Source organism: Homo sapiens, chromosome 2, assembly GCF_000001405.40.
Source record: "Homo sapiens chromosome 2, GRCh38.p14 Primary Assembly".
Classification (NCBI taxonomy): Eukaryota; Metazoa; Chordata; class Mammalia; order Primates; family Hominidae; genus Homo; species Homo sapiens.
The window spans coordinates 140,920,248-140,935,378 of record NC_000002.12 but is presented as its reverse complement, the minus strand read 5'-3'; the positions used below and the strand labels follow the sequence as shown (position 1 = coordinate 140,935,378).

At 33.9% G+C, this 15,131-nt stretch overlaps 1 protein-coding gene across 3 annotated transcripts in view, besides 1 other annotated feature; it reads left to right on the top strand.

Moving 5' to 3' along the window:
- Positions 1-15,131, top strand: part of LRP1B (LDL receptor related protein 1B) — a 1,899,594-nt gene that overhangs the window by 1,195,638 nt on the left and 688,825 nt on the right. For all 3 annotated transcript variants that reach the window (NM_018557.3, XM_017004341.2, XM_047444771.1), the window contains exon 21: positions 12,232-12,414. In NM_018557.3, coding sequence (NP_061027.2) covers positions 12,232-12,414 — 183 coding nt within the window. The remainder of the gene's footprint in view (positions 1-12,231; positions 12,415-15,131) is intronic.
- Positions 6,652-7,153: an enhancer, noted in NCBI's record as "NANOG hESC enhancer chr2:141685795-141686296 (GRCh37/hg19 assembly coordinates)". NCBI's record gives its function as "activates a minimal SCP1, AML or CMV promoter by ChIP-STARR-seq in primed H9 embryonic stem cells {active_cell/tissue: H9 hESC(primed)}" and the evidence as "EXISTENCE:reporter gene assay evidence [ECO:0000049][PMID:30033119]".

Below are 15,131 nucleotides of genomic sequence, written 5' to 3'. Positions count from 1 at the left end.
TTTCATCTCCAAAGGCTTTTCATTTTCTTTTTAGGCTTAGCTCTTTAAAGATATCAAAATATCTTTTGGTATTTCATTTGTTCATCCGTTGTTTCTTGACTTTATCCACATTTTCTTTGACTTTTTTATGCATCTTTAAGCCAGTTGTTTTAAATTCTTTGTCTAGTCCATCTACCATTAGATCTCTGTCAGAGATACTTTTCATTGGTTTATTTTGTTTTCTTTGAATGGGTCTTTGAATAATATACTCTTCTTTGCATGCCTTGTGATTTTTGTTTTTGTTGAAAACTAGAAATTTGAATCTAATAATGTGATAACTCTGGAAATCAGATTCTTCCCCTTAAATTGCTGTAGGTTATCTCTGTGCCACAGATTACCCTGGGGTATAAACTTAAGGTCTTTTCAGGTCTTTCTTAGCCTGTGACTTTCCCTTGGTATACACAGTAACTTTCTAATTTCATTTGTATAAGTGGTTGTGTTTGAACATCCTAGTCTTTTATATCTAGCTCCCAAAAGGGGAACTGAGTAAAATGAAATGAAAGTAAGAGGGCACTGGCTCTTAAAATTCCCTGGAAGCCACTTCAGCTAGAAATGGAGGGACTTGTAACGATGGAGAGAGGTGCAATGACAATGGCCACCACCTCTTTGCACCTTTGCGGTCAGTGACAACAGTCAGTAATCAAAGCACGGATCCCAGAATTTGGAGGGCAGATCCTGTCTGTCTACTCTGGATCACACAAGCTGTGTGCAAGCTGCTCCAGGAATACAGGCCTGATTGTTTGCCATAGAACGGGGGTCTGAGGGATTCATAGGTGTGACTGTGCTAAGAGCTGAAACTGACCTAAATTAACTACAATTTACCATCTAAGGCTTACCCTGGAAGTTGCAAGGGTTCAGTAGACTTCAGTTCCAAGATAGTTTGCATTAGAAAGATCCTGCTAGTGCAATTGTTGTCTGGGTGGAGAGATGTATTCCTGTTGCTTTCTATTCTGCTGTCTTTCTATAATCCTCATTCAATTCATATTTACCAAGACAAACACATAGTGCAAAAACAACTGCTGTTATTTTTCAGTAACTAAATTTTATTGAGAGTAAAGCACTGGCTTTGAATTTAGGGGAATTCCCAAATTATGTGTTATAGACTCAGCAAAATCATATGTTCTTCTGTCCTGATTTTTTTTTGACTATTTACTTTTAATAAAACTATGCATTATTTTCTCATAAAATACAATTAAAGTAAAACTTAAGTTCTAATTTTAGAGAAGTATAATATCTATTTTCAATGAAATACAAACTGTCTGGCTCAACTTTATTCTCTCACAGATTGATTTATTTTCCTTAGAATATAATACCACTGAGACATATAAACAATGTTAATTATTAATGGATTTTATCCATAGGAAACCTCTTTTTGTTTTCCAAGACAAAATAACGCTTTAAAGGTCACTTTAACCTTAATACTGAAACCAACTGATGTCTTTACATCAAAAGTAAAGACAACTCAAGGCTTTTGAATCACTTAATAACAAAGCCTATTTCTAACAATGTGCTTATCATGAAAATTAAAACCAGTAACTGTAATTTAAAAAATAAAATATTAGAACATGGTTCATAAGAATAGAAGGAAAGAAGCCAATTATCTTTATTTTTACTATGCAGAAAATTGGTATTGGGTTCACCTGTATTTCTGGATAAATTTAGCTTTTTTAGTAAGACAATTATTATGCACTTTGACATCAGAGTAACATCCCTTGTTTTGTTAAAGATATAATTAATAGCATAAAGACCTAATTTTAATGAAGAACCTCACCCTGTTGTCCTGCTTTTTTAGCAGAGCTTTAAAAATGACAAAAGTCAATTAATTTCCTTAGTCTTTAAATTCTGGTTCCCTATTCTCAAGTTATGATTAATGACTATTAAACTGTAGGATTTCAGGCATTCAGCAAAAAATAAACAACATGGAGACAAAAAACATGAATAACCTAAAAAATAATGACTTCATTCCTCAGTAATGAGACATGTCCCTGCTTTTGTGATAATAAAGAAATAAGCAATGGGATAAAGTGCTGCCTTTTCTTTGAGAAGTAGTTGGTATTTAGCTTCCTTTAGAACCTATTTGACCTGTCAGCATTTGTTTTCTTATTTATATGAAGCTTCAACTGAATTTGCATTTAGATATTATATTCCTGCACTATACTGAACAGATCATTCACTTTTTGTTAGGATATTTATTTGAAGTCTAGGTGGGCATTTGTGCATGCATGGCTACCTAAGGAAAATGTATCGCCATAATGTACATCCAAAACCTTTTTATGAATAACTTTGATGCCTAAAAGCATCCATATAAATTAATACAATATTCTGTGCATTTAATACTCTGGAACATTCTGGCATCAGAATATATATACATATATATGTGTATATGTATATGTGTATATGTGTATATATATACACATATATATGTGTGTGTGTGTGTGTGTGTGTGTGTGTGTATAGGGAGAGAGAGAGAGTGTCTCACTCTTTCACCCAGGATTGAGTGTACTGGCACAATCACAGCTCACTGAAACCTAAAACTGAACTCAAGCAATCCTCCCCTCTCAGCCTCCTGAGTAGCTGGGACTACAGGTGCATGCCACCATGCCCTGCTAGTTAAGAAAAAAAAAAAAATTATAGAGACAGAGTCTCACCATATTGCCTAGGCTGGTCTCAAACTCCTGACTTCAAGTGATCCTCCTACTTCAGCCTCCCAAAGCACTGTAATTAAAGGAATTAGCCACTGTGCCTGGGTTGTTATTGTTGATATGTATATACTTGATTATCATGTTCTGTGAATCACAAACAATATTTAGAATAGTTTAGAACAAGGGTGGGCAAACCTATTCTGTAAAGGATTAGACAGTAAATATTTTAGGCTTTGCCTGTTGCAACTACTCAAAGCTGCTGTTGTAGCATGGAAGCAACCCTAGACAATATGTCAACAAATGAGTGTGTCAGGGTTCCAATAAAACTTTATTTACACAAACAGGTGGTAGACTGGAATTAGTTTGCAGGTTGCAGCTTGCTGACCCCTCATTTAGAACACAAGGAGACAGACATATTATAAAGATCTGTAATCTTGAATAATCCTACACCCATATATTATAGAATATCAAATTCATTGGACAAAGGCAAAAGGGAGAAGAAAGGGATGAAGTAAGAATAAATAAATTATTAATAATTTTTAAATTATATTCTCCATCCCTCCCTCACAGAGATATCTCATAAGTATGTGCTTATGCACATTCTTTCCACAAAATGTTTGACATCATTTTTAAAGTTCAAATTAAATAATATCTTTTGTTCAGTTTTTTCCTAGAAAATATTTGCTACCACTAAGCACACTGGTAAACCAAACAGTAATTTCCAAATGTAGCCTATCCACATTGCAATTTCTTTTACTTAATATTTGATAACTAACATATCTGTTAAGTTGATTGGTTAATACAAACAGTGAATGGGAAACTTGATTTCTCAATTACTTTACATAGCCAATTCAGCGGATTAATACATCTATCCACTTATATTTAGATAATGTAAGAGTTCATCATTCTTCTGATACTTATATTTTAAATGAAATGTTCATGGTGTTCTAGATGTCAAAACATAAAATTTTAATTAACTAAATCAATGTTTTATGTAGATTTTGCTTCGATAGTACTTTAACTTGGGTGATACTTAGAACTCTACATTGAAACTTCCGTTTCGACTTACTCTTTGAATGTCTGTTTTGAACACTAAAGATAATTTAACTTCTGCCTAGTTATCCACACATTATTTTCCATTCCCTTCTATTAAACTTTTCTAACTGACTCAAACAGTAAACCTATATAAAGTCTTGAAATCTTGTATTTTTTTTTTCACTTATCATTAAGTCCTAAAGTCTATGTACTCATGACGAATTTTGATGGTTTCATCCAATATCTTATCAGGATAATCTCAGAGTGGTGACTACATATAAGGAGGTAAAAGGAGTTTGTTGAAATTAAAGGGAAAACACAAAAGCCACGTTCTGGACGTGTGTGTGAGGTTAAAGGTAGGGAAGTGACATGTGAATAATAAACCAAGAAATATGGCAAATCCAGATGACCTATAGGCAGTCATGAAGGTCCAATGGGATAAGGACTAGTTGATTTAAGAAGAAAGACTTAGGCTTGACTGCATTGTTAGTTCACAGCAGAGATCATACTACATTAGGTAGGCAGCATCCCCTAGGGAGTTTATCCCACATTACATAGAAAAGAGCAGGACAATCACCAATCCCAACACAAACCAGTTAGCCCAAAGTCTGGGAGGTGGCTTTTAATAAGCATCTGTCTGCTGAGGATCTCTAGAAACTGAGGGCAGGCTAAACTCCTTAGGGGTATATTAAGGTTCTCCTCAGACAGGAACAGACAAAGGTATGTCCACATTGTGTTGGTTAACAGAATGAGGCTATGGATGTGCTGCCAGACCAGCTTCTAAGTAGTGTCAGGGCTGGAGAAGAAATCTGAAGCAAAAGGCTGCCTTAAGTGCAGGAATTATTAATACATAGTGATTCACAGAAAAGCTAAGAACAGAGCAAGGACTGACACATGGTGATTATAATGGGGAGCTCTGTGCACATCCAATATACAGTGCTTTTTAATTTTCAAAGCACTTTACAATGAATGACAAGTTAAAGGTGTAAACTCCATTAAAATAATCGAAAAAGAAAAAGACTTCTCCCTCAGACTGGCCTCACAATTTAAATATTCCATTGTATTTGCAGCAACATTCTTGACTGTTTTCTAAGGGGGCTTTAACAATTTTTATATACCAAAAAGTATATTCTGAATAAAAATATTTATATCATATGTATGATTTTTGCAATACTAATTTTCATTTTTTTAACATTAGGAAAACAGTTTTTTTTCTGTCACTGTACAGTTGCTAGTCTTCTAACTATAAATATTTAGTCACAGTGAATTCATTTAAATATTGGAATAAATTCTACTAGCAGTTGCCATATTTCCTTCAGGGCTCTGTATTTACTTATTTATCAGAGTCCCCAAATTGTATGCTTGGTTTAAATAGCTTCGGGGCAAAAATACAATAAAATTGTATTAGTTAAAAATATAACTGGCATCAGCAACATGAAAACATAACAGCAAAACAGCATGCACATATACATATAAATTGTCATCATTTTAACAGTCTGTTGGGACAAGTCCAACGGCTATCTATTACAAAGATAGATTGTGTGCCAAGCCCTGAAGCTTAAGAAACTGGGACTCTGGGGAACCATACCGGCTTGGAACTCAAGCTGGAATGGTCATCATAGGTTCTTCAGAGGGATGTAGCTCTCCATCCGGAGGAAAATCAACAACAGTTAACAGAAGCGGATTTCAAATTTGGCGAGAAGGTCAAGAGATAATAAAACCTCATGACTTTTTTCTGTTTTCTGGCAGAAGATGACAGCATTCCTAAACATCAACACCCACCCAAACCTAACAGATATTGAGAAATGGGTTTGAGATATTTTTAATTTATAGTAAGGAAGTAGAATGAGAAGTGGGAAGTAAAACTGTGTGTGTGTGTGTGTGTGTGTGTGTGTGTGTGTGTGTGAGTCTATATGACTGTGGTATAAACTTTAAGTGTCCAAGCAGATAAAATAGATGCATATACATAAAACCCTTATAAATGTGAAGGTTCTTGGAGATTTTATTCTATTTATTGTTTAAATAGTCGCAAAGTGATCTACATAAACTGCAAGTCTGATTACATCAGAATCTAGCTGTAGTCTTTCTGTGGTTCCCAAATGCCTATAAGGTTATATCCAAGACATTCAGCACAACACACAAGATCTTTCAAGATCTAGGCCTTGCCCACCAACCTAGCTTTCTCTTTCTCCCCTCTTCTGCTCACACATTACACAAAATTTTATTAATACTGCTGGCTTTGTGCAGAAAATCTTTTGTTCCATTTAATTTTTTCCTCTGCCTGACTCTTAATTCTGACCCAGAACACTCTGATTAATTTTCTGTCATAGAAATGCCTAGTATGAAATCCCCAAGTCCAGGACAGTCTTCCACTCTGTGTGTTCTCCTGGCATTCTCTCTTATCAGAGCATTTAAGACATTGTTTGTAACTGCCTACATAGCCTACTTATTTGAATAATCACTATTCTGAAATCTTTTCAAATGCAAAAAATATGCCTCCCATTTTGCATCTGGACTCCACTGAAACCCATTTATCTGTTTTTTCTACTTCTACTCAAGTCTTGTAAAATCCGTTTTCACACAACAGCTCGCAAAAACTTTAAGCAATGTAAATTAAATTATATCACCGTCACTTCTCTGCTTCAAAATCTCTAATAGATACCTATTGTGCTTATCTTATCTTAGCACAATTTTTGATAAATCTCTACAAGAGTCACCCCTACCTACCTCTCAGGTCTCCTTTTACTCACTCACTACCATTATATATATTTTTCTTTTTCTGTAAAAATTAAGCTCTTTCCTGCTTTTAGGTCTTTGCAATTGCTATTCCTTCTGTGTGTTCTTTGTCCTAACATCTTCATGGCTAGCTCTTTCTCGTCATTTTGGTCTCACTCAAGTGTCACCTTCTGTAATCACCCTTTTTAATATTTTTCCTATAACCAAGTCATTCCTGATGGCAGTCATCAATGATATTGACAATGTATTTCTAGTTATTCTCTTTTCTGGGCCCATGGTAAGGTTGTACTTCCTGGGACATTTGTGGTTGACTGGGACCAATAAGATGGGGCCCTATGCTATATGATGAGGTTTGGTCAATGAATTGTGATCAGAAATGATGTATCTTCCTTTTGCATCAGATATGAGGCCATCCAGAACCCTCATTTCCCTCTCGCCTGCCAACTGCAAACATTCAAGTTGGTCTCTTATTCATCAGCTTGGGTCTTTGAATGACCACCACAGGGATAGCCCACCTACTGATCCACAATAGATATGTAAAATGAGCCATAATTAAGTTGTATATGTGTGTAAGATGCAGCGATTTTGTATTGGTCTGTTATCACAGCATAACCAGTCTGTTATTATCTGTTATACTATCTATAATATTACTCTGATCCGTTTTCTTCACAGCACTTATGACTTTCTTAACTAATTTAGTTGATTTCTTGTATAATTATTTATTGAAAGCCTATATGCTCCCTTCTCTGCTCATGTTCAAGTTTTATGAGAATAAGTCTCTGAACACATGGTTCCATGGTGTAATGGTGAACACTCTAGACTCTGAGAATAAGTCTCTGTCTTATTCCTTGCTCTAGCCCAGTGCCTAAAAAATGCCTGCTGACTGGGCACAGTGACTCTTGCCTGTAATCCCAGAACTTTGAGAGGCCAAGGTGGGCAGATCAACTGAGGTCAGGAGTTCGAGACCTGCCTGGACAACATGGTGAAACCTCGCCTCTACAAAAATACAAAAAATAAATAAATAAAATAAAAAATAAAAATAAAAATAAATGAATAGCCGGGCATGATGGCGGGTGCCTGTAGTCCCAGCTTCTGGGGAGGCTGAGACAGGAGAATCACTTGAACCCGGGAGGCAGAGGTTGCAGTGAGCCAAGATTGCACTATTGCACTCCAGCCTGGACAACAAGTGAGATTCCATCTCAAAAAAAAAAAAAAAAAGCCTTCCTCGTAATACTAATCTGCCTCACACAACTGGTAATGTATTGAACTTTTCATAAAAGAACAAATTTTATCATGATCTTATAATAGCATAAAATAAATGATAAATTTTATTAGAAAACAAACAGGCTGAACAGCAATGATTTAAATATAAAAATTAATGACTTTATAAATGCTTTTTGATTATTATATGAATGAATTCTATTTTTCTTCTTGAGTTTTTATATGAGAAAAACCATACAAGAAGTTAAAAATGGTACAATCATAAAACTGAGCAGACTCCAAAGTTTAATTATGTGGGTTTGAATCTCATCTCTGCTACTTATCATGTGCGTAACTGCAGGAAAATTAATCATTTCTGTAACATGAGATGCTTTCAATAGGCAAATTCCATTTATTTGTGTGAGACAGAGTCTCCCTCTGTCCCCCAGGCTGGAGTGCAGTAGCACCATCTTGGCTCATTGCAATCTCTGCCTCCTGGGTTCAAGTGATTCTCGTGCCTCAGCCTCCCAAGTAGCTGGGATCACAGGCATGAGCCACCACACCTAGCTAATTTTTGTATATTTAGTAGAGATGGGGCTTCACCATGTTAGCCAGGCTGGTCTCGAACTCTGACTTCAGGTGATCTGCCTGCCTTGGCCTCCCAAAGTGCTGGAAGTACAGGTGTGAGCCACTGCGCCTGACCTATTTATTTATTTTTTAATCAAAAGGAGCTGATGGTTGTTCCTTTTTCCACTGGGTTCAATCTGATGTAATGAATATAAAGCATAAGCAAAATGGAGTGCCATCTAAGCTACCATATCAATGCAAGTTACACAGGATGGGAGATAAAGAAACACTCAGAGAAATGTGAGGTCTTGGCATTCCTCTTGAAGACCACCTTGAGAGTCAAGAAAACCTCTAACTTTCTGACACAGGGAAAAAAACGCACATCAATAAAAAGCATCATGTATAATTTCTGAGCTTTTATAAATCCCCTAAAATCTACTCATGAAGTTCCCGAATATATAGACCCAATCCTAGGTATTTTTTTAAAGTCAAATGAGTCCTAAAAATCATGGACATTAGCTGGGTGCAAAGGCTCATGCCTGGAATCCCAGAACTTTGGGAGACTGAGGCGGGAGAATCTCTTGAGGCCAGGAGTTCAAGACCAGTCTAGGCAACAAAGTAAGACCCTGTATGTACAGATTTTTTTTTTAATTAGCTGGGTGCAGTGGCACACACCTGTGGTCCCAGCTACTTGAGAGGCTGAGGTGGGAGAACTGTATGAGTCCAGGAGGTTGAGGCTGCAATGAGCCATGATTGTACCACTGTACTACAGCCTGGGTGACAGAGCAAGACCCTGTCTCAAAAACAACAGCAAAAATCATGGACATTAATAGGTGACATTCTGAAGACAAGAGGGCAATCCAGGCTGGGGAGAATATATAACCAAGACAAGGAGTTACACATTAATGATGTGTATGTGCATTATTAGAGAATCGTTATCCTCTTTAGGTTTGAAAGTTCACAATATTATATTTTCTTCTTCGGACTATACTCTTGTTTTATGTTATTATAATGCAGTTGTTTATGGTGACCCTTAGTAGATGTTATGCCAGCATACAGAGGTTCAGACATGGGTAGCTTAAGAAGAAAAAAAAAAAAAAAAAGAAAATCTCCAGGTAAATATAACATTTGTATTTAAATTTATAAGGTAAATATTTATTTAGAATAAGAAAACAAATGAGTGGATTCACTTATGAAACACAAATAAATAAACAATAGCAAACAAAGCAAATGGAAAAAACCTTAGACAATAACAGTATACTCTCTCTCCTCAAAGATTCTGCTTTGATCTTTATAAAAGGAAGGTGCTAATGTAATTGAGTTTGGCCCCATATAAAGCAGGTAGTAGCTGTCAACTTTGCAAGGATGCCAGCCCAAGACGCTCCCTAATTTTCAAAGTACTAGAGAATCTAGGTTTTTATTGGAAATTCTCAGATTTTTAAAAGACCAATAGTGTGTTCGTCAAACATACTGAGGAACAGTTTCAATATATGAGCTGCCAGTCTTTGATTCTTATTTTGGAGAATGTGGAAAAATCAATAGATTACACCTTCCATTCTTTATTAAATATTTGAAATCTCTGACAATTACCTGAAATACGATTTTTAAATGTTATTGGTTGAGCTCATACTACAGGCTATAAAAGTCAGATGAGCCAAGGTATGTTTTGTTTTGTTTTCAACGAAAGTTAAGTAGAAGGAAAGAAGAAAAAAAGCCCTTTCATTGCTGCATGGAAGCTGGGCTCTTCACCATAGAGTGATGCACAGAGCTGATTGGGCCTTGGAGGTCTATCTGAGTTGTCTCTTTTCTTCTTCCTGAATATTGAACTAATGTAGGAGTTTCAAGTTATAGCCTAGGCTTAAAGACTTCACAATATCTTGTTTATGAAACCAGTCCCAAAATAATTCTTTACAACTGTAGTAGCTATGTCATACAGTCATTCCTCCATATACACTGGGGATTGGTTTCAGGACCCTGAAGATATCAAAATTCAAGAATGCTCAAGTTTCTTATATGAAATGATGTAGTGCTTGCATATAACCTATGCACATCCTCCCATAATATACTTTAAATCATCTCTGTATTATGTATAATACCTAATACAATGTAAATATGATATAGTTATACTATATTGTTGACTGATTTTTCTTTTTATTGTTGCATTCCTATTTCTTGTTTTCTTTTTCCAGATATTTTCTAAATACATTTGTTTGAATCATTGAATATATTTCTATATAGAGCACTCTGCAGACACTAAATAAATATGGTGGGAAATTGCTATATCACATTTTATATATATCTCCCCCTTGTGCACAGACTTTACCATCTTTATTAATTGTGTGTGATTGATTGTGTGTGTGCAAACCAAGTATTTTATCTAACCATAAAGATGGTATGTTCAAAGTGAGAATGAATTAGATAGCTAGAATACTAGAAAAATAAAGTTTTTGATTTTGGAGGGGATTTAAAGAAAGCCAAAACTCAATGCTTTATTATTGCATGTGTTCTTAGCAGTGGTCACTTTTGAAAATTAGTCCTAGTGGTTTTCTATTACAATTCATGTTTTTGACCAATGGAACTTCTTTACCCTTGCTTCCACAGGGTTGTTTCTCCTTGGTTATTTATTAGTTCAGCATTACTGCACAAGCAATATTTAGGATGTATGGTCAAGTCCATCTTGAACATCTTTATAATATTGTATCACCTGACAGATTATAATTGCTGAACGTCTTTAAATAAAGAAAAAATAAAGAACTAAACCATTTATATTATAGAAAATAACAGCAACAAAACTTTGTAGTTGAATTAATCCTTTATAGATATCTAATTTAATTCTCACATCAACCCTGTTGATGCATTCTCACTGAACAAATAGAGGTCTCAAAAGAGTAAGTGACTGCTTTGGTGATATCACTGTTATTAGGAACTTTGACATTAGATTAACCTTAATTTATAACCATAGATATCTACCAAACCAGTGTAATAAATAATGAGAAATTCACTTGAACCTGCTTCAAATTAATCATAATTATATATATCAATTGCTGCTATAGGTAGCTTATACATTAATTGCTAGATAGAGCTATGCAAGATACACAATAAATTTGTTACATTAAAACTTTGGTCTAAAAATATCTACTAAAATATCTATTTACTGTAATATTTGGAAATACAGATTAATATATCTCATTAGATCTTAAAACAAATTTTAATAAGCTGCAGATTAGTCATGTAATTCAATTGTTAAACTGCCAAACATCTGTATCCCAACATTTATATTTTCTTACTTTTATTTATGTTTACCTGCAGAATTTATCCTATATTTTTAATCATCAGATTTGGGGCAATAATGTTACCTGGTCATTGTTATGAATTATTAATTGATAAATTTGAATGTCTAGTATTTCAATTCTTATATTTAAGTGTCTATTCTGATTCTAGAATTGAAATCCTTTGTCCAGAAGTTACATTTATTACCTGTTTTTTTGTATCTATTTCTCAAATTTTTGAATGCTATTCTTCAAAGATTTTGTTAGAAAGTACTTACTAGTTTTTGGTTATTTGCTTCTTAATAATTTGAAAGAAATTACCCAGAGAAAGATAAGAGAATAAGTCAAGGTCTTATCATTAAGATTAGAATGTATAACCTAATTTATGTGTCTTAGAGAAAAGCCTTTAAAGATTTCATCCTTTAGGCATGAGTACAAACCACAACAGAATATCCGCAAATTATCTTACTTCTTCTTTTCTAATGTACATAGTACTTTCAGAAATTTTAGGGGAGGCAAGAAACATCATTTTATCGGACTATTAATGTTATTTAAATGAATTAGAAAATACTAGAGTATATTTATACTTATTAACCATCTAAAGTAAAAATGTATTCTCTCTAGCATTATAATAATGCCTGAAGAAAGAAAAAAATGTGAAATAAAAACTACCAACAAGTAAAATCATAATTTCTCTCCTGTCTTGCCCCCCTCTGCTTCTCTCTTCCTCATTTCAAATTAAGAGATTCATTCTCCTGCTGGTTGTAACGGAAATGAATTTCAGTGCCACCCTGATGGTAATTGCGTTCCTGATTTGTGGCGCTGTGATGGAGAAAAAGACTGTGAAGATGGTAGTGATGAAAAAGGTTGCAATGGTACCATACGATTGTGTGACCACAAAACCAAGTTTTCCTGTTGGAGTACAGGTAAGTGAACATTGCTTTTGGCTTCTATTGGGTCTCCCTGAGTGTGGAGTCCTTTTGGCTCAGGCTGAATCTGTATCTCACCTTTGTAAAAAGTAATCTTATATTTTTGGCAGATGTGCTCATGTATAATAATAGTAGTTAACATTTAGGGAGAACTATCAATGGGGCTAGCATAATTCTATGAATGTTCTCCGCATTGGATTCATGAGGCAAGGAGAAGTTTTTAACTTGCTTACGCTCACAGAGCCAACATGTCAGACTTAGGATTTAATTTAATTAATTAATTAATTTATTTGTTTATTTATTTCTGAGATTTGGGATTTTTAAACCAGGCAATCTGGAATACAGAATCTGGAAATTCAGAATCGAGAGAGATAAGCATGCCAAACCAGCTGGCAGCATTTCTCTTTCCGTAGATAAGGCCTCACCCTAAAATTTAAATGAAGATGACTTAGAAAAGAAAGATAGAATTATATGTATTTATTTTCAACTAATTTCCTAAATGTTACTGTACTATTGCTTATTTCTATTATGAGGAGGATGCTGACTGCCATTTAAAGCTTTGATTTGAGGGTCATTGGGGCTGTTATTGTGTTATATAAATATACCCTATTACTATGACTGTTCCATTTTGGTTTCGTGTGTGTGCGTGTGTGTGCGTGTGTGCGTGTGTGTGTGTGTGTATACAAATAGGAAACCAAAATGGAAAAGTTATAGTAATAGAATGTCTTATATTCTACTATATTTTATTACATATACTGGGTACCAGTTGAAATGATAAACTTATTTTCTTCCCGCTTTATGCCAGATGATGTGTTGAAGTTTAGAGAAAAGTAGATTACGATGAGCTATTGTGGTTTAATTTGTGAAATGGTTGGTATCATCCTCCCAATAATCCATGGAAATAATTTTCTGTAGATGTCATGATAACATCTCTGCAATCTCTCTTTGATGTGAAATTGTTTTTCAATTGCTTAATCATGAGCTCTTAGTGATTTCTTTTGCTCCCTATAATTACATATTCTAACAAAAAGTACAAATAAGAAGTTGTAAAAGGTGTAAGAAAACACTGTGAAAGCCACGGGGGCTGATGTACATTTAAAGGTATAAAAAAGCACTGTCTTTCTTTTCTTAAACATGCCTCTTGGTTACAGTTAAATATTCCAATAAGAAAAAAGAAAAATAAATGCAAGCTAACATAGGTATAGATAAATACATACTCCTGAAGCCTTTTCCTAGCAAGGAAATTGTGTTTCCAAAACATTTTTTTCCAACAATATTTTTCACAATTATGTGACTCTCTTCAATTGTTACATAAAGAGTCATAATTTTAGGGTTATTTGTTAGAAAAATGTGATTTTAAGTTTAGAAATGGTCTTTTTGGAACATGTATTAATTGAAAATTAGCAGACGAATTATTGTAAAATGAATGAATTATTGATGGCATAAATAGATTTCATTTAATAGGGGAATTCTAATGCCAAAGAGCCAATTATTTGACTCGAGTTAACATACTTCAAAGCATATATTGTGTATATTTTCTCCATATAACTTCTGGCATTTTCCTGATTGTATTAACTTAAAATACAGCAGGTAACAGTTTTTAAAACATATATGAAAAAGAAACTGGCAAAGCTTGGTTAAAACAAAATATAAACCAATATGGAAAATCCTGAGTTTCAATTACTTGAATATGCTGTTAAAGCAAATTGAGATGCGAAACATAAAACCAGGCTGCAATTTCTCTATACAGAAATAAATTATAAGGAGATTCACAGTAATGTAAATTCTCAAAGCTATGTATTAATAAAAACTAGTTTGAACTTTCAGTTGAGAAAAAAAATTTGCAGACAAAGCATGTAAATAATAAATAGTACGATTAAGTAAATTTAACAGAATATTCTAAGTGCTTGTAATTTATTTTAAAATGTGTATTGATATTTTGCAATGAACACTTATAAAACAACTTCCTGTGAATATGGTTCAACATCAAAATAAATCTGAAGTATGATGAGGAAAGCTGGCTATCTTTAGAGAACTGAATTTTCTGGAACACTTTTATATGTGTTGACTTGAGATTTGGATTATCGATTTAATAATGCTTTTAATTAAACATCCGATGTTTCTACCAAATAGTTTTTAGGTAAGCAAAAGATTAATGTAAAAAAAATCTGTGATAAAACATATGTTTCACTTTAAAAGGAAAAAGTGAAAGGTAATAATTTATCCATCTGCTTCTAATCTGATCTGTGTTTTGGATATAGTAAACCACAATTTATTCAACTTCAGAAGAGTTGCACAATTACAAAGTCACATTTATGACAGACTTCAATGAACATTGCAGTCATTAAAATGAACCACAAATATAAGCAATGATTTAAAATATGTATTCATCTACAAACCTTTTGATATTTTTTCATTTACTTTAAATTCTCAGTTTTACAAGCTATAAGACCTTTAAACTACCCACAATGTTTAATCCAAAGTTCATGATTATTTTCAAAGTTTTTTAAAATGTTAGCTGAACATTGAAAAGTTTCAGGCTAATTAATTTATATATGGTAATTAGAATAGCTTTCTTATACATAAATTGTCATCTATTGGTGTTCAAAACGTAGGCACAGTAGGTTTTTAAATTCCTATTATATGAGAATGAGAGCTAACTTCAAGTACAATATAACAGTCAGGACTTAAGAACTTCTAATCTCAAAGGACCT